Source organism: Homo sapiens, chromosome 20 (assembly GCF_000001405.40).
Source record: "Homo sapiens chromosome 20, GRCh38.p14 Primary Assembly".
Classification (NCBI taxonomy): domain Eukaryota; kingdom Metazoa; phylum Chordata; class Mammalia; order Primates; family Hominidae; genus Homo; species Homo sapiens.
Window position 1 is genome coordinate 19584231 of NC_000020.11, and position 19621 is coordinate 19603851.

A 19621-nucleotide genomic window follows, 5' to 3' on the forward strand; every position below is an offset into this window, starting at 1 on the left:
AAACCCCGTCTTGGCAGGGCTGATGCCTCATTACCTTCTTTTCAGCCTTAAGCCCCCACTCCCACTCTCTGATCCCGGGGTTTCCAGAATGCCTCAAGGAAGGGGAGTGGGTTTCAGGAGGGTGATCCCCACATCCACACCCCAACATGCCTCCATAACCTCCTAAAGACTCACAAACTGGTTACCATGAGCGTCATTTAGCCTGAGATCAGCATAGTATCACAAAAATCAGGAAGTTTTGCATAAAAGGTTGGATTATTGGCATCTCTTAAAAATCAGAATATCTGGCCACACTGAGGGAACTGGGCAATGCTGCCCATAGAAAGAGGTGAATGCCCCCACCATAGCCTCAGACCTACCGCCTGCTGTGGCCTCCCATGGGCCCACTCCACTCCTGACTGTCATCTGCACAGCCCCTGCGGGAATTGGGTTGAAGACCCCTAGATCTTCCCAAGAGCCTTTAGCTCATAAGGACATGTAGTTCCCTCCCCAAACCTGTCCCTTAAGGAGGACATTGAGAGGAGCTCTGACTCAGCAGGGGATCGGCAGCAGTGGCTGCGCTCTGTGAGAAGGAGAAGGAGGCTGAGAGGGACTAAGTACCAGCCCCAGGTCCCATCGGTCCTACTCTCGCTGAAGCCCCAGTCTTTGCTTCTCAGGGCTTGGACTCTCGGGTGTCACAGTCACCTCTCTTCCGAGATGGAATCCCAACTCACCTGTGCTTTGTCTTTGCTCCTCTGTAGCGCCTGCACCTCAGTGAAGATGTGGCTGGGGCCACATTCATGGCAGCGGGAAGTTCGGCCCCAGAGCTGTTCACATCGGTCATAGGTAGGTGACAGACTGAGGGACATCTCAGACCTTCACTGTCTGAAGGAAAAGGGCTCTGGGAATGGATGGCCCCCAGACCGAGATTGTCTGCCACTCATAGAAAATGATAATCCAGGGACCCCAATGAGTAGAACATCAGCCTCCCATCTGCCGTTGTTGTTTTATTTAAGTGATGCTTTTACTGTGCATGAACTTGTCCCAGACCCCAAGCCCATCACACTCCTGTGCAGCTATCATCCCTCTGTAGATTAGAAAGCTCTCTCCACCCCTCAGCTGTTTCCTGTAGATTCTGAGAACAATCTAATGCTTATGAAAGGTTCCCCATGCCCACCTTGGAATGCAACAGGGCCACAACAGCCAGGCTGATGTGGGATCTGTGTTTCAGGGGTCTTCATCACCAAAGGCGATGTGGGAGTTGGCACCATCGTGGGCTCAGCGGTATTCAACATCCTGTGCATCATTGGTGTCTGTGGGCTCTTTGCTGGGCAGGTAAGACTGGCGGCTTCTTTGTGATGGCAAAATGTGACATTGGGGAAAGGGGAGGCATGGAGTTTAGGCAGGAGACTGTCTTGCTGGAACACAACTTGCATTAGGGCCCAGTGGTTTGGGCAGCAGTGATTTGGGACCTCACATCCCAGGAGGCTGGCCCAGCTAGAAGTGGAAACTGGTAATCCACCATTACTTGGTCTCCATGTTGATGGAATATAGAATGCTCAGGTCCACATAAATAATTAACCAGACTGAAAGATGTGGGTTACAATCTGAAGGGTTCCACATTCATTTTGGTATGTTACTGATCTGAACTAGAATGGCCTAAAACAATTTTAGGTATGATTTTTGCTCATTGGAAATAGAATACATGAGAATCTGCTAAACACAATGAGAATACATGAGAATCTGCTAAACAAAACATGCAGTCATCACGGTTTAGGACACAGCCTAACCTTTTTTGACTGTGGTAGAGCATTTCATTTCTCTATTATAACGTGCCTTTGGGGTTATGAAGGGCTTAGCAAGCCTGCAGTTTACCTATGGAGTTGATGCCACTTCCAGGTGGTGTCCTGCTATCTGAGTTCTTTATGAATACTGGCGTCTGTTTTGGAAAGTCTGGGGAAGGTGCTCAGAAGCCACTGCGTGGGAGGCTCTGGGCGACAAGCCTACACTGCAGCAGCACCTGGAGGTTTGTTTGCAGGGTTTGCAACTGTTTTGCCAACTCTGATATCCTAAATTTCTTCATAGGGATTTTATTCAGAAACAACACAACCCTGAGATCTCTGCCCAAATACCCACAACTTTGTGTATCTTCTAGTAAAAGGCACTTCTAAAAGCTCATGGAGGCTACTCCACTTACAATATCAAGGAACCTGCTGATCCTAACCACTTGATCAGCAGCCTTGATATGAACAGTGCACTGTTCTCCTAGAAGTGGCTGATTGGGTCAGGGGGCTAAGGAAAGCCCCGGGGCAGCCTTCCCCCTACCCTTTGCCAGGGCCCTCACCCCACAGCAGCGGCAAGGGGCACCCCATGCTGCCCGTTCCACTGATGTAGACTCGAGGGTCTCCATGCAGGATACCCCGGGTCCACCATTGCATTCTCCACTGCCCATTTTTACTTCCGTCATCTTCGTGCCTATTGATTTGTCTGGATTGCCTGGTGTGTCAGTTGCCTTCAGGTGACACGCAGAGGGACACCTGGATCTCATCGGGATTCAGCTCCAGGGCCCACAGGTGGATGGGTCCCTTCTATCTGGAAAAGGGGCTCCCAGTACATGGTGACTGAGCTCTGCTCAGCTCCTTAGACTGAATGATTTCCCTCTTCTCATCCTCTCAGTCAATGAGCTCATGTCTTAGATTTTGTGTACCCACAATATGTGCTTTTTAAATCTCCCATAAATGTAGTTAGTATTTTTTTAAAAAATGAGTCTCTGCCTTTGCCTTTGGTGCTATTTGCACTTCCCTGGCTCTCCTTTGCCTTGGACACCTGCTTGTGGCCTTCCACAGATGAACAGTTGCACCCAGCAGAAGAGTCTGTCGCTGTTAGCACTCTCCTAATTGGCATTGTCACCATCAGCAGTATGGTTATTAGTCTGGCTGTTATTAGTGTTGTCATTAGTTCATTCATCATTTGTACCTGAAGCTTGATTCACAAGCAAGCCCAAAGGAAGAGAGATAATGTAGAGAAATGAAACAAATGACTGGGGAGCATCTAGTCAGTGCCACACAACTAATTACTTATGAAATGGCTTGGATGCATGTGTGGCTCATCACTCATTAGTAACGCGGTTCATCCCAGCTTGGTTGGAACACCTGCATCAAAGGCAAAGGGCTCCCTGAACTCCAAAAAATGCTGGTGTCTGTCCCTTGACTCACCCCAGAAGGTCTTTGCTGGCTCACCTCACAACCCTGTAGCCATGGACAGAAGTAACAACCATGACTGTTGGGAGAAGCAGTCCACAGTCCACGCGATGACTCTGGATGCCAACCTTTCCTTCTGACTTTCCTGTCATGTGCCAAACTGGAGATTTTCAAGGCCATCCAGCTCAGGGTTTTGTAGGATCCTTCAAGTCTTTGCAGAGGAAGCAAAATTATGTTTTGGGAAGAACATGGGCTGGGGAATCAGACGGGTCTGGGTTTAAATCCTGATTCTGCCATTTTCTGGCTGTGGAACCCTGGAGAAGTTACTTATGTTCTCAAAGCCTCATTTTTCTCATCTATAGAGTGGGTACAAGCACACCTACTTCCTAGTGTTGCCATCAAGATGAATTGTAGCATGTTCAGCATTAATAGACCTGCTCTACATGGTAAGTCAGTCTCAGTTAGACACCATTAGCTATGCTCAGAATACGCATCCCTGGGGTTCTCACCTCCAAATTCCACCTAGGTCACTGTGATAATTTGACCAACTCATTGATGGAACTTATCTAACAGTCAAGGGTGTCCACAGCTTAATTAACAGACACAGGATACTCAGTGGGAAGGAAAGGGATAGTCAGGGAGAAGGTCTTCTAAATGTAAATCAAAGTAAGGAGATGTTCGTAGAAAAACAGTCTCAAAGGACTAGTACTTACTTCTGTGCTGTCTACCAGTGGGAGGTGAAAAAAAAGAAATGACAGCTTCCCAGCCTCAAACAGGGAGAAGCTCTCCCAGGCGGTGGAGTTGGTGCAGTGGAATGTTACGGCAAAGGCTGGATATTGGGAATTGAAGCGATTAATAAATCCAATCATGGATTTCACTTAGCATTTTATTTATGTTGATCTGCACTTTCATTTGGCTGGGAGAATTACCAGCGAGTGCCCGTGGGCCTCCCTCTATGAATTTCAGCATGGAGGGTTGCACATGACCAAGTCTGTTATCCATCTGAAATTAAAGTAATTAAGCTATAAGGTTTGAGTTCCTGTCTCAATTAGGGTTTTGATGAATTCAGTGTAATTAAATGTCTGCTGTATTTGCAGTTTGCAAACATAACCCTCGCTTTGGTGTTCACCTAAGGTGCTTTGGGGAGTTTTATGGGACAAAAAGGAAATTGCTTTTTAGAAAGTGGCTTATAGAGAGGTTCTTGGCATCACTTCAAGACATTTACAAGGCTGTGGTCCTACAAGTTTCCTTTATTTAAAAACGAAGAATAATAACAACAAAGAGAAAACACCGAGCTCTTGATGCAACATACTAATGTATCTTGTACGTTGTATTGAAGGGACTTCATGCCAGTTTTGTAAAACAATGTACTTGTGAATTTCGATCTGCCGTTCAGAGCATGTTAAGATTTAAATGCCTAACCACAAACAGAAATTATGCAGTTTAACTGCATCCCAGGTTAGGACTTTCATATTCAGGTTATTACAGGCCGGCAGATGGCTCTAGTTTATAATAAAGAGCTCCAACATCAGCCCTACTGGCATGCTTAAAATGTGCCTGATGTTCTTTGGCAAGGCCCATCTCATCTTGGCTGGGTTTGCCTTTCTTCAAATAATACTGGCTCGTTTAAACAAACCCTAGCAGCACCCAAAGATTGCACCTCTGAATTGAAATCCACCTGCATTTGGGCTTCCCCAAGAGACTCTAAGCAAGGACTCAAGTGCAAACAGTTGATTTGAAAGGTGATCCCAGGAAGTGCTTGTGGGACAGTGTGGAAGGAAGGCAAGGAAGAGAAAGCAGTGGAGGAAAGTGTGTTAGCAAGCCAGTTATCACTGTGGGTAACAGAGATCTAATTCTTCTGTGGGAACTGGGAGACAGTTTAACTGGAGAGCCACTAAGTTATCTCATGTAAGGAGGCGGGGGAGCTAGAGTATTTCTCCACCAGCTTCCATCATTCATTGGTTAAAGACTGCACTTAAGGGATATTAATTCCCCAGCATTCCAGCTTGCTGGGCTCAGGCGGAGTGGACCTTGGGGCCCAGGGAAAACCCCCAGGCAAAGAGATCTAGGGGACAGCAGTGGAAAGGGCCTGAAATGGTAAAGGTGGGGAAATATGAGTGAGCTCATAGTAAAACATTTGCTATGAACTCAAGACAAAGACTTTAAAACAATACACTTCCTGGGTCTCATCTTCAGCTCCCTTGGATGAAACACAAGCTTTAGTACTAGGCAGACTATAAAGTGTCTAGGGCCAGGACATCTTGCATTTAAAGAATTTTCTCTAATGTTAAAAATACCAGCTACTGTTTATTAAGCTTCTCTAACGTTCAGGCACCACACTAGATTCTGTAAAAATATTTGCGGAAATACACCCACTGAGTTTTAAGATAGTTATCATCCTTCTTTACAGGCAAGGAAATGGATACTGGGGGATTCAGTATTCCCCAGATGGCAAAGAGTCTATTGTCTGGTAGTTAAGACTGAATTTGAGCTCACATCAGTTGGTTATAAATTCCATTCTCCTTCCAAAAGGGGGAATCTACGATTTAAAAACCTCCAGATGTTATCATTGCATTCTTATGATTAGCCTTGGATTTTATGTGTTCTTTGGAAGTTTTGAGTGTAGGATCTGGGGTCAATGCCAAGAAAACAGACACATCAGCAAAATGGTGGTAGCCCCTGCTACAATGGAAGTATTAGATAGGTGCAAAAGTAATTGCGGTTTTTGCCATTGAAAGTAATGGCAAAAACCGCAATTACTTTTGCACCAACCTAATATTTTACTTAGCACAAACAATGTGCAGCTAGAAGTTTCTCTTATACTCAGATGGCATCTCCCACAGCTGGGCTTTTGCTTCCACCACAGATGGAGGACTCAGGCTGATAAACACAGCGGGACACCCACAGGCTGCCCCAGCTTACCCCGTACACCTTGATTTCTATCTTATTGTTCCCCAGACAAAACCCAACACACAGCTCCCCTGTTCCAATCCTGAGATGCATCCAGATTTTCCAAGAAGCTGGGGACAGAGGACAGGGGAGGCCAAAAACCACACACCCATAGTGCTGCCAAACCTAAAAATAGGGGCTGGAGGCCTAACATCCATTCCAGGGAGGGAGATGAAATTGCAAGGAAGAGAGCAAGTGATCTGTTGAGAAACCAAGAGGGCAGGTGTGGCAGAAGGCCTCATCCAGGAGCCAGCGTGCTTCCGTACATGATCCTGTGAGTAGCAGAGAGCAGAATGTGAAGTGCAGGAGTAGACCAAGGCCAAGGTCAGGTCCAGCTGAGGCAGCCAGTGAATTCCATCACACCCAGTAAAACTGGGTTTCTCCCGGCATCTTCTGCAGGCTGTGGCATCAGGAGGCAGATTCCTGTTAGAAGCAGAGCCCCAGCCCTAGCCCAAGGCCAACTGAATCAGAAGAGCAGCTCACCTGCTTCAGCTCCATCTGCAGGCTCAGCTCTCATCACGTTCTAGACCAAGCGTGGCCCTGGATGAGAGGCAGCCTCCAGCAGTTGGTCCAGGAAAGGTAGACAGTCCTGCTGAGGCCCCAGTCTTATGACTGACCATCTGCCTGAGGCTGTCTCTTGCACTGTCCCCTCATAGTTTCTTTTCTCTGGCCATCCCCACCCCAACCCCCTCAAGGCCAGGTCCTGACAGGGCCCCACACCTGATCTCCCCCTGACAGATGCTGTTGGTCCCAGGCCCAGAGTTCTGCTAAGGCCACCCACCTGGCTCTGTGCTGCTCTGTTTTCATTGCCTCTACAACTTCACCCCAGATCTCTGTGTTAGCTTTGATCTGGGCTCACAAAACGTGTGTCTTGCTTGTTCCACTTCTTTGATACGATCTCCTGAAGTCAGATTCATTCTCAGATCCACATCTAGACTAATTAGAAGCTTTCAGTTTCAGGTAACAACAAAAAAAAAATCCCAACTCTAACTGGCTTCTTAAATGAAGGAAATTTATAGATGTCTCTGAAAAATGCAAAGGAAAGTGGACATCAGGTATGACTTGATCAGGACTTCCAGCCCCATTGTTGTGATTCTTTTATCTCTAATCTCCTCTGTTTCCTTCCTCATACTAGTTTTTTTTTTTTAATGGCAGAAAATAGCTGTAGCATTTTCAGGCCTCAGGTACACATACCACTTTGGCCAGGAAAGAGAAAGAGGATGTCTCCTTGGCCACCACATCTCATTCCCCATCCCCCCATAGCATCATCAAACAAAAATCTGATTGAGCCAACTCAGGTTACCTGACCATCCCTGAACCAATCATTGTGGCAAAGGAACTAGTTACTCAATTGGTTTAGGTTAATCAAGAACCACATACCCATTTCTCCCTTCCCTCCAGAGCTAAGAATCTAATCACTTCCACCTCGAATACACAGTTTTCAGTTTATTATAAAAAGCAGAGATAAATGATTACAGGACAAAGCCTGTGCACTATCGTGTGCTGCCTCAATGTCTGCTTTCCCTGGGCTGGTGGAACACAAGGGAAAAACTGCACACAGATGCACTCTAGGTCTTGCTGTGGACATATGCTCTCATTTCTTTCAGGTAAATAACCTAGGAGTGGGATTACTGGGTTGTGTGCTAAGTATGTTTGTAAGAAACCACCAACAGCTTTGCAAAGTGGCTAAACCATTTGTATTTCCACCACCTACATGTGGGATTCCAGGTGCCCCACATCATCACCAGCACTTAGTATTATCAGTACTATTTTGTTTTGTTTTCATTTTAGCCATTCTATTGAGCACGAGTGGCACGTCACTGTGGTTTTAATTTGCATTTCCCTGACGAGCCATAATGTTGGGCATTTTTTAACAGGCTTCTTTGCCATCTTCTTTGGTGAAAAATCTGTTTAAATCATTGCCCATTTGTTAGTCAGGGGTTTTGTCCTCTTCTTATTATATTGTCCAGGCAGTCTCTAAATCATCACACTCGACTAAGCACTCCTCTGAGTCCTTCTGTCCAATTTATTTCCATAGCCAAATCAATAGTGGGTAGAGCCATTAGAAATGATTTAAACTGATCATGGCAATGTTTTATTAGTTCTGTTTCTTGGATTTAGGTTTGCAAGAGAGGTACTCATAATCAGCACGGTGCAATGGGGGAAAGAAAATGAAGCAATCATTTCCCTTTAGTATGGCACACCTGGATGTATCTGAGATGCATCATTCCAGAAATGTGAAGAGAAAAGCAGGAACCTCTCGTGGCCAGGGGTGAGGACTCCTTCCATGTAGTTTTCACATGCTCCTTCAAAGTGAGTAATTTTCATGTTTCTCTTGAAACTCACTTCCAAGGAGCACCATGAAAATTACTGGAAGGAATATTCACCTTCTGAAACTCACTGCCTACATCTTCGGCAAAAATTTTCTTTCTTTCTTTCTTTTTTTTTTTTTTTTGAGATAGAGTCTCACTGCGTTGCCCATGCTGGAGTGCAGTGGCACGATCTTGGCTCACTACAACCTCCACCTCCCAAGTTTAAGCGATTCTCCTGCCTCAGCCTCCCGAGTAGCTGAGATTACAGGTGCCTGCCACCATGCCTGGCTAATTTTTGTATTTTTAGTAGGGACAGGGTTTCGCCATGTTAGTCAGGCTGGTCTCCAACTCCTGACCTCAGATGATCCGCCTGCCTCAGCCTCCCCAAGTGCTGGACTTATAGGCGTGAGCCACCGCACATGGCTGGCAAAGACTTTCAATGTACAAGTTGCCCAGAGTCTTACCATCATGGCAGCTGAGCACTGTCCCAAGATGAGAGTCCATTTTTGGGGCACAAATGTCATTTCTTTCCATGACACCACATTCCCCACACTGCCTCCTATCACAGGCAAGTGGGGCTCTTAGCAAGAATCTGCCAAATGAGCCCAGGGCTAATTGAACCAAAGCCAGGTCACCCCTTAGCAAAATCACAGAAGGAGGTAGAGACTGGGCATCCAGGCCCCTCTGCCCCGCAAGTAGCTGAACCTGAGTTGAAGGTTAAGTATAGTGAGGACAAAAGCCAGTCAGGCTGGCAGATGCTTGTTTTATTTATGCTTCCCTTTAACAAGCACACCTACAGTACTTACCTTGTGGCAGGCACTGTCTCGCAGCGTTACATATGTGAACTCATTTTGATCCTTTCAATAACTCCTGGAGAAAGACATTGTTGAGAAAAGAGGAAACCAAGGCTCAGAGAGGCTGAGTACTGTGTCAGTCACAGAACCAATGAGTTGGGAGACGTTGAGGGCTGCAGGGATACAGCTAAACAACACAGGCAAAGCAGGGTAACTGCTTCCTCAAGGCTGGCTCCCAGAGTCAGCTTAGACCAAGGGCCTCATACCCTAAAGCTCCCTCCACAGTGTGGCTGTCCTCAACATTCCTTCACAGCTCAGTGCCCTCTTATCACCATGCAACCCACTTCAGTGAGTAATCAGAGGGGCACACTTGGGTGCAAAGGGACTGGCAGCCCAGAAAATGCCTTCTTCCGCACTGCTGCAACATGTGACATCTGCTGAGCTCGTTCTCCTGCTGGACCCCGGCCATTCACTCCTGAACCCCACAACAGCTGCCGGGTGGGCCCAGGCACCCCTAGCCTTAGCACAGAGACCCCTCATCTCCACACCTGCCCTTTCTGCACAGGCAGAGCCAGCCTGCACACCAAGTGAGGGGAGGCGAAGGATTCCCGTCATGGCCTTCGAACTCCACCCTTGGGCAAAAAAGCACTGGAAAGCTTCCCCTGGTAAAAGGGCACACAGGACATTAGCAAGTCACAAAAGTGTATGTGCAGCAGGCAGGGAAGGCTTCCACCTCTGTTCCTTCGACTGGTGTCCACTGAAGACTCCCTGGTCTTCCCTCCTATCAACCCCCTACACAGGTCACCATGTAGGGAGTGACAGAGCAGACCAGATTTCATGCCCTAGGTCCAAGCAGCTACAGTCCAGGTGGCTATGGCCTGAACCACACCAGGACCTGAGGCCTGAGACCTCCTAGAATCTAAAAATGCAGGCCTGTCTGTACACAATAATGTGAATTAAAGGTGGTTTGTCTCGTAGTTATTTGTGAATTTAAAGCCAGGGTCATAGTCCACTGATTGTGTTCTAGGGAGAAATGTTTATTATAGTCTTCTTTGGGCAGTAAGCTCATTCACTGATTTAACAAATGTTTACTGAGAGCCTACTATGTGCCAGGCACAGTTTCAGGCACTGAAGAGGCACTAGAGAAAAAATTACATTCTAGTAGCAGGCTTCGAGATGTTAAATACTCAACAGAGGTGATAGATTGGTAGGTAGGTGAGTGGGTGGGTGGCTGAGTGGATGGATGGATGGATAGATGGAGAGAGAGTAAGATATTAATATAGTGGGATAGTGGGATAGTGAGATAGGGAGAAGATATATGGAGTCAAGTGGTGGCCAATGCTATGAAAAAGCAATACAGCATGGTAAGCGTTAAAGAAAGTACATGAGAGAGAAGTTACTGTGTTATAAAGAGTTTTCAGGGAAGACACCCCTGCAAGCACTGATAGCATAGTGCCGTGAAAAAATATTAAGACATTGCACTCTGTGAAGAAAATGGCACCATTTAAAATGTAGACTCTGATTTGGTGCAGTTTTGAACATGAGTCACTCTCTGAGCAGAAGGAATGTGCCATCCCAGTAAACTGCCAGCCATTGCCCCCAGGAACAGTGTAAAATGCTGGTCTTCTAGGTTCACAAGCTAGAGTAAGAAAACAGCAAGGCCAAGGGCAACAGGAAGAGGCATATTCATCGACCATCCCCAACCCTGGCAACAGTGAAATGCATGATGTGTCTAAGCAGACACATCACGCATTTTTTCTGCTGAGGGAATCACTGTGCTAGGCTGTGAGCTCCCCAAGAATGCAGCCCGTCTCTGCCTGTTCCTTACTGCATCTGCAGCACCAACAGTAGTGTCACATATGGTAAGGGCTGAAGCATCTTCGATAAGGGCCTGGCTAGCTGATATCCTGCCCTTGATGCAGGGCAGGGGAGGATGAGTATATGATCAGAGTTCACAGGGCCCTTCAGCTGGCACAAACGTGCTCAGGGACTATTCTAGGGGTGCCTGGGTAGTCAGATGGATGCATGGATGAATGAGTATCACAAGTTGCCACCAGATACACCAAAGACAAGGTGAGTTGAAACAGCACAAACTCTGGGTAGCATTTGAGACACAGTCATGAAACCGAATTATTGATTTCATGTGGACTTCCATTCACTGCTTTTTAGCGGCAGGCACAAAGCATACTGAGGTGAACAAAACAGGAAAGGTTTCTTCCCTTCTAGAGCTCACAGACCCATGGGAGAACACAGGCAAGGAGCATCTGAACCAATCAATGATCAGATAATAGAAGACAAAAGTTATTGATGGAAATGCATTGGGCAATGGGATGGGTGGTGAACAGTGGAGAAGGTGGAGGAACAGCTTTAGCGAGGGTGATCGGGGAAGTGTCTCAAAGAAACCCCAAATCATGACAGCAACTCCAATCAAGATCTAGGAGAAGAAACTTCCAGGTGGGAAGAAGAGTAAATGTTCATACAGAAGCAAGCTTGACATGTTCGAGGATCATGGAATAGGCCAGTTTGGAGCCTGGTGAAGAAGGGGAGTATGGCTGGGAGTGCTCAGAGAGGTGGTAGCCAGGGGCCGATCATGTCCAGCCTTGGGTCATGCTGAGGATATGGGTGCATTGGGAAGCTACGGGAGAGTTTTAAGCTGTTGACTACCGTTATGCAATTTATATTCTGGGAATATCACCCCAACTGCTTGGCAGAGAAAGGATACTACAGGGGCATGATGGTGGCCGGGAGACCAGGTAGGAAGCCTGTGGTAAGACTTGAGTGGCGTTGTCAGCAGTAAAGATAAGAAGTGGTTGCTGTCTTTAGAATATTTTTTGGAGGTGATGCCAAGAGGGTTTGCAGGTCAGTTGGAAATAGGAGTGATGACATGGGAAAAATCATGGAACACTCCTGGATATTTGCCCTGAGCAGTATAAATTGATTAAGCAATATTTGTTAACTGTACAAATGAGTACAAATCGCCATGAGCAATTAGGAGCTTGTGTTCAGAAAGTAGGCATCCTGTTATCCAACACATTCTGAGGTTGACCGTTATGAGTCAGATCCAGAAAGTTGGTAGGGTCTCTGAGTAAATGGTGAGATTTTAATTAAAAGTTGTTGATGTTATTCACTGGCCCTGCCCAACCTCCTGAGCCGCCCAACCCTCTTACAGTCACAGCTTCCCTTGGTGGCACTTGTAGTGAAAGCCCTGATTGGCTCCTTCTAGGACTTCAGATACGGTGACACCTATGTCCTGGATAGCACTGCCCATCTCCAGGTCAACCTCAGTCTTTATGAATTTGAAATTGGCACCTAGGAGCTCCATAGACCCCTGGTGGCCATGCTTTTGCATATGGTGGAGCAGGACGTGAACAGGTGAAATACACAGCATTTGCTACGGTGTGGATTGACCCATCTTATTCTCTGTCCTCTGCTTTCTCACACCCCCTTTCCCCGCCCATCTTAGGTCCAGCTAGAGTTTGGATATTTTATCAGACTCTGCTAGGCTGCAATATCATTAGCATGTCTTTATTCTGTGTTCCCTGAGCTCCTGACAAGCCTTATCTCTACTTGTTAATCCATCAGACAAGAAGGACTCAGTTTGCAATTTTATTTTATTTTTTAATAAATACAATTTTTTGCTAGGCACTGTGGCTCACACCTGTGGCCCCAGCACTTTGGAAGGCCAAGGTGGGTGGATTGCTTGAGCCTAGGAGTTCCACAACGAACGGCCTGGGCAACATAGTGAGACCCCATTTCTAAAAAAAGTTTAAGAATTAGCCAGGTGTGGTAGTTCACACCTATATTCCCCACTACTTGGGAGGCTAAGGTGGGAGGATCACTTGAGCCTGGGTAGTTGAGGCTGCAGTGAGCTTTGATCACACCACTGCACTCCAGCCTGGGCAACAGAGTGAAATAACCCAAAAATAAAAATAACCCCAAAAATAAAATAAAATATATATAATTTTAGAAAACACGTATGGGATACATATTTTTGCATATTTATTAGGTACATGTGATATTTTATTACATGCATAGAATATATAATAATCAAATCTGGGTATTTAGAGTGTCTGTCACCTCCAGTATTTATCATTTCTACATGTTGGGAACGTTTCAAGTCCTCTCTTCTAGCTACTTTGAAATATACACTACATTGTTGTTCATTGTGGTCACCCTACTCTGCCATCAAATATTATAACTTATTCTTTTTACCTAATTGTATGTTTGTACCCATTAACCAACCTCTCTTCATCTCCCCTCACCCCACACCCTGCCCAGTTGCTGGTATCCATCATTCTACTTTCTGCCTCCATGAGATTAACTATTTTAGCTCCTACATATGAATGAGAACATGAGATATTTGTCTTTCTGTGCCTGGCTTATTTTCACTGAACATGATGACGTCCAATTCCATCCGCGTTGCTGCAGATGACAGCATTTCATTCTTTGTTATGGCCAAATAGTATTCCCTTGAATGTATATGCCACATTTCACCCACTCATCCATTCGTGGAGACTTAGGTTGATTCTATACCTTTGCTATTGTGAACAGAGCTGCAACAAACGACAGTGCAGCGTATCCCTTCAATACTGAGTTTGCAATCTTAAAATGGAGAAGTGAAGGACACAATCAAAGGAAAGTTTGAGGGGTGTTTTTGGGATTTTTTTAATATGACAGAATACTTTTCTAGTCAAATCCTTTTTATTCTAGGCCAATCTCCTTTTATTTTTTGTGAAGTAAGACATTTGTGGCCTCCTGCTGCAGCTGCTCTTTCCTGCAGGGGAAATCTCACTCTGCATTTGAATGGAAACCTGGAGCCTGGACCTGAGCCTGAATCTCCAAGTGAGAAAGAAACTAATGCCATTAACCTTTCCAGATGGTGTGCAGACCATCTAGGGCAATGGGAGGGCTCATGTACCACGTGTCCGGCTTTCACTGGCAAAGTAAGATTGTGTTGCAGTTGGCTGGGGGCTCTCCCTCCCCTGACCCAACCAAGGGGGTGACATATCTTGTGTGTGGAAGGGAGGATGAGTTTCTTCTTCCCTTCCCTATAGTGCATATACCTGAGTGCCATTGCCTGGGAGAGGAGAAAGAATAAAGCACACTGGCCTCAGTGTGCTTTATTTACTTGTGACTTTCTCCCACAGTGAAATTGTGACTGCAGTTGGGGCATGGAAAATTAGAATTAGGGCACTTGGTGAGGTACCAGCAGCTGGGGGACTCAAGGCGTGGGTACAGCTGTTAGACAACATTAAACCCCTGCCCTTCGTCATTTTAAGATATTGGTCATTATACAGTAAACTTTACTTTTTCCACTCTCTTGCTCTGTCTTTGATTACTGCAACATGCAGCTTCTAAACACATGTGTCCCAGCCTCCCCATAGCATCTTTGTGCTTGACCTTTTTCTTAAATAAAAATTTAAATATATATATATGTATATACACACACACACACACGCACACACACACCTTTCTTTTACTCCCAGTTGCTATTTTTATTTTAAATTAAAAATAGTTTTCATATGAATAGCTAATCTTTACTGGGAACTCAGTTGAGTCGATGTGAAATTACATGCATGAACTCGTTTAATCTTTGTATCAACCCCATGGTGTCGGTTCTTCTTTCTTCATTGTACATATGAGAAAATAGAGCCCAGAGAGGGAGGTTGAGAAACATACCCCAGGCCACACATCCAGGAATAGCAGAGTTAGGATGCAGAACAAGGCAATTTGCTTCCAGAATTTGTGTTCTTGATCTCTGTGGGGCACACATGAGTCAGTGGAGCAAAACAGGACAGAGGGGCTCCCGTCCTGGAGGCTGTAGAACATGTCTCACAAATGGAGGAGGAGGGCGCCCTAGACTGTCTTGCGGTCCCTCCCGCGCACCTGGCGGACTGCGTGTATGATGTGGTCCCTCCCGCGCACCTGGCGGACGGCGTGTGTGATGCGGTCCCTCCCGCGCACCTGGTGGCCTGCATGTGTGATGCGGTCCCTCCCGTGCATCTGGAGGACTGCGTGTATGATGCAGACCCTCCCGCGCATCTGTATATGTATGATGTGTCCCTGGGCCTTTTTGGTTTAGAACACCTGATAGTGCTGAGCCTGGCTACCCAGGTGCTCATCTCTGAGTGGAACACAAGATGCTGCCTCCTGTTAGACACTGAGACTCTATTCCGAGCTACGTTTATGCATGCCCTCATTATGGAATTTAGCAGGGATTGAAATGTGGTGTGGGACTAAATGGAATTTGAGGCCTTTCTGATACCATTTCCTGATGCCAATACGCTGTGGTGCTGGGATGTTCTGCAGAATGAAGCGTGGGAAGACGCACCTTCCCTCATCCTGATGAGTTTGTTCAGCCCATCCTGTTCCTGGCATCTACTCTCTTTGGGAAGAATTGACTCTGTTTAAGGGATAAGGAGGAAAGCTTGAGAGGGGAACAGCCAGGAGATTCTTCTATGACCCGCGGAGTCAAAGCTCAGCCATGTCCTTGGTAAACGTGTGCTTTCCTGTTTTGGAAACATGTTGGCGTCGAAGTCCTTGCAGGGCTTGGCTTGGCTTATGCTACCTGTGAAGGTCCAGGAGCCAGGTTGAAGGCCCGTGGGGGTCATTCTGAGGGAAGGCCTCAGTGCTCTTGGTACAGAGTTGAGAATCAGGTCAGGGTGGAAAACACGTGGCTTTCACCCAAACAGGGGTTGATCTCCCAGCGCTCCCAGCCTCCCCTCGGCCCCAGCTCCAGCTCCAGACCCTGCCAGCTTGGCCTAGACAAACCCATTAGGAGGCGCCATTTCTCGCTGGACTCTTAAATTCTGCCCAGCGGTTAAGTCCAGAACACCTACTAAGAGTCATCATATTCATATGAAGGCTTCAGGAGGGCCTCTGAGAGCCCTTTTAAATGCCATCAAAAAAGTCAGCTCTGCAATTTCATGTAAAGAAACAAGAATATCATGATCAAATATATCTCCTTAATTTTTATGACAATAAAATAAAAGAATTGTGCACATCTGTCATCTCACATAAATAAAAATGGATTTTAATGAAGTGCTACTCTACAAGTTTGAACTGAAGCAAAATGTTTAATATAAAGTGTGCAGCTCCAATTCTGGCCTTGGGCAGAGAGAGTAATTGTAAATATTAGTCATATTGTATTATTATGCACAAGCACTAAGCTAAGTGGGTTTTGTGTATGTGTGCTTTCTTAAAAATATTTTAGAAATGAGTTCTTGTCCTGTCACCCAGGCTGGAGTGCAGTGGCATAATCATAGCTCACTGCAGCTTCAAACTCCTGGGCTCCAGTGATCCTCCCACCTCAGCCTCCTGAGTAGCTAGGACTACAGGCAGGTGCCACCACACCTGGCTAATTTTTAAAATGTTTTTGTAGTGACAGGGTCTCCCTATGTTGCTTAGGCTAGTCTCAAACTCCTGGCCTCAAGTGATCCCCCCACTTCTGCCTCCCAAGGCACTGAGATTGCAGGTGTGAGCCCCTGCACCTGGCCAACGCTAAGTTTTTCATATGGTTCTGGAGGCTAACTGCCCACATTCAAATCTTGGCCTCCCCACATCTTGAATACATGAACTTCAGAAGTTACTTAACCTTGCTGTACCTAAGTTTTCTCATCTACTAAATGGGAGTAATAATAATATCTACCTAATAGGGTTGTTGTGGTGTTGATATATGTTTATATATGTAAAACACCCAGAAGACCCATTCGCCTTCTCCTCTACCTGTGTTGCCAGCAAGAGTTTGGCTTGGGCTTTCTGCCCAGCACAGAAGCTTGTCTGGGCGGTGGTCCCAATCCACTTTTTCATGGGGCCCTCTTGCCCAGAAGCTCCAGGTCTATTTTCAGCCTCTGCAGCTGCCCTCTCAGAAATCTCCTGTTTCTTTGGTGCCCCAGTTCCCTGGTCTGTTCCGGCCAGCAAGAGCTCAAGGAGTTGGAATTCCCTTTATGTGGGGATCCACACTTCAAAAAGAATAAAAAAGCAACGCACCCACAACCTATGTATCTGCGTCATCCCTCCTCCACTCATGGAGATCACAGACCCAGGGTGAACCCATGCTCCCCCTTCTGACTCCTGCCCTGTTGACAAAACCAGGGAAGTCACCAACACCATCCTAGTTGTTCCACAGAGAGCTGAGGTTAGATGTAGCCCTTTCTCAGAACGGTGTTGACACATGATTCATGCAAGGGCTCCTGAGACGTCAGAATGTTCACGGCCATGCTACAAGCCGGGAATGTGAATCTGAGAGTCCTACAAGTCTCATCTCTCCAGTCCCTCCATGCACAGCCTCTCAGCTGGCTCTGGTCTGCAGTGCTGGTGTTTTCCATAAAAGAGGGGTGTAAGTTAATGTTTAAGACTCCTATTACTAATAATAATTGAAACAGTAATAGGAGTAGTAGTAGCATTAATTTAAAGTTATTATTATTGGCCAAGCACGGTGGCTCACGCCTGTAATCCCAGCATTTTAGGAGGCTGAGGCGGACGGATCACCTGAGGTCAGGAGTTCGAGACCAGCCTGGGCAACATGGTGAAACCCTGTCTCTACTAAAAATACAAAAATTAGCTGGGTGTGGCTGGCGGGTGCCTGTAACCCCAGCAACTTGGGAGGCTGAGGCAGGAGAATCGCTTGAACCTGGGAGGTGGAAGTTGCAGTGAGCCGAGATTGTGCCACTGCACTCCAGCCTGGGCGACAAGAGCAAAACTGTGTCTCAAATAAATAAATAAGTTATTATTGTTATTGTTATTCCTAACATGTATTGATGGCTCCTGGGCACCGCACTTTGTTGTTTATATACATTATTTTATTTAATCTTTTCTAGAGTCCCCTGAAAAAAGTACTATCATTGTCCCCATTTTACAGATGAAAAATCAGAGATGTAGCTCATCAGTGTTGGTGTCAATGGGTGGCTTGGGAGAGCTTTTGCCCACCTACTCCACACACAAGCCCCCACAGTGTCCTTGCTATAAAGATATGACTTCAGAAAAAACCCTCTACCTTCTCCTTTACCCAGACAGATGCCTGGACCTCTTCTTTAAAGCTTCGAAACCACAGCTGGTTTTCAGTTTCACCCAGGTAGGAAATGTCCAATCCAAACTTCCAACCCAGGTCTGGCCAACTCTAGAATCCAAGCCATAACACACTGTATACTATTATATATTTACCAAAAGACATACACATCTACCAAGAGAGTCCCCATGCTAAGCATGGCTTGGCTTGAGAACTCCTTCTTCACAAGCATCAACATCTAAAGGAGTCTCTCATCACGTACATGAAATCCCTGCTTATGGCTCTGTCCAGAGGAGGCCTGTCCAAACCAGATGGCAAAGGCACGGGAGTCCCTGACTCTCTCTCTGCGCTAATGAGTCAGCAGGCAGGTGTGTGGGGAGTTGAAAGCCAGCCACATGTCCGGCAAGCAGACCACTCTCTGCTACCACTGGAGGCATCAGCCAGCTGAGGGGGGCTCATCACACCCGCACCGTGGTTCAGCTGAGCAAGATTGCTTAGGAAGAGCCTGGCATGTTCACGGTGCATGTGGAGTTAAGTCCTAGTAAAACAAGTCAGGGTTTCAGTCTCTCTGGAATTGTCACCCTGTTTAAAGTCCTGAAATCACACAGCGTGGCACTAGTCATGGAACCAAAGTTCATCTACCAAAGTCCCAAGTGGGATTTAGAAGTAAATGAATCCTTACATGTAATTGAGTCTCTGGCCCTGATTTGACCAGAGTTGGACCTGACTCAGGAATTCCCTGGTCCTGGCTTAACTTTTGTGGGGGTTTTGGTCTGGGCAGTCCTGGCCACACCACAGCATCTGCCCGCTGAACAGATGCAGCTGTGGGGTCAGACAGCTCAGCAGGGGGTGATGGCATATGCTGAATTTTGGCATCTTCAACTTTGTGTACCCTAATTTCTCTCCTTTTCCAAAGAAAAGAGTTCCGTGTGGAATGGGGGCTGGTGATGGATGTTTCTGAGGTTGTTTGCCGGCTCTTGGTGCTCACGTATCAAGTGGGACAATCAGAGAATCAATGGACTCCATAAATAGTCCGGAATGACTTCCTATTTGTGACCAAATCCCTCCTGAGTCTGAACACCTGTTCGCCCAGCAGGCTGGCTGTTGTCAAACCACTTGGCAGTTGTTTGAAAGCAGGAAGTCTTTTCTCCATCAGAAGAAAGAAGAGGTTTCCCATAACTATCAGACTTCGGGTACATATTTCCCTTCAGTTCTTTTTTTATTATTCCTTAAATTCATTGTTCATTTTGGAACTAAGTGTGCTGTCTGTTGCTGGCCTTGGAGCCACATTATGCACATATTCAAAGAAAAAAAAACAAGGCTGTGAGTTCCAGGGGTGACACCTGCAGCTGTCCTGGCATCCTGGTGCACACCGAGCTG

General features: G+C 46.4%; 1 protein-coding gene across 1 annotated transcript in view; it reads left to right on the top strand.

The window, feature by feature from the left end:
• Positions 1–19621, top strand: part of SLC24A3 (solute carrier family 24 member 3) — a 510285-nt gene that overhangs the window by 371589 nt on the left and 119075 nt on the right. Inside the window, exons 5-6 of the mRNA NM_020689.4 lie at positions 741–825; positions 1211–1314. Of these exons, the coding sequence (NP_065740.2) occupies positions 741–825; positions 1211–1314 (189 nt within the window). The remainder of the gene's footprint in view (positions 1–740; positions 826–1210; positions 1315–19621) is intronic.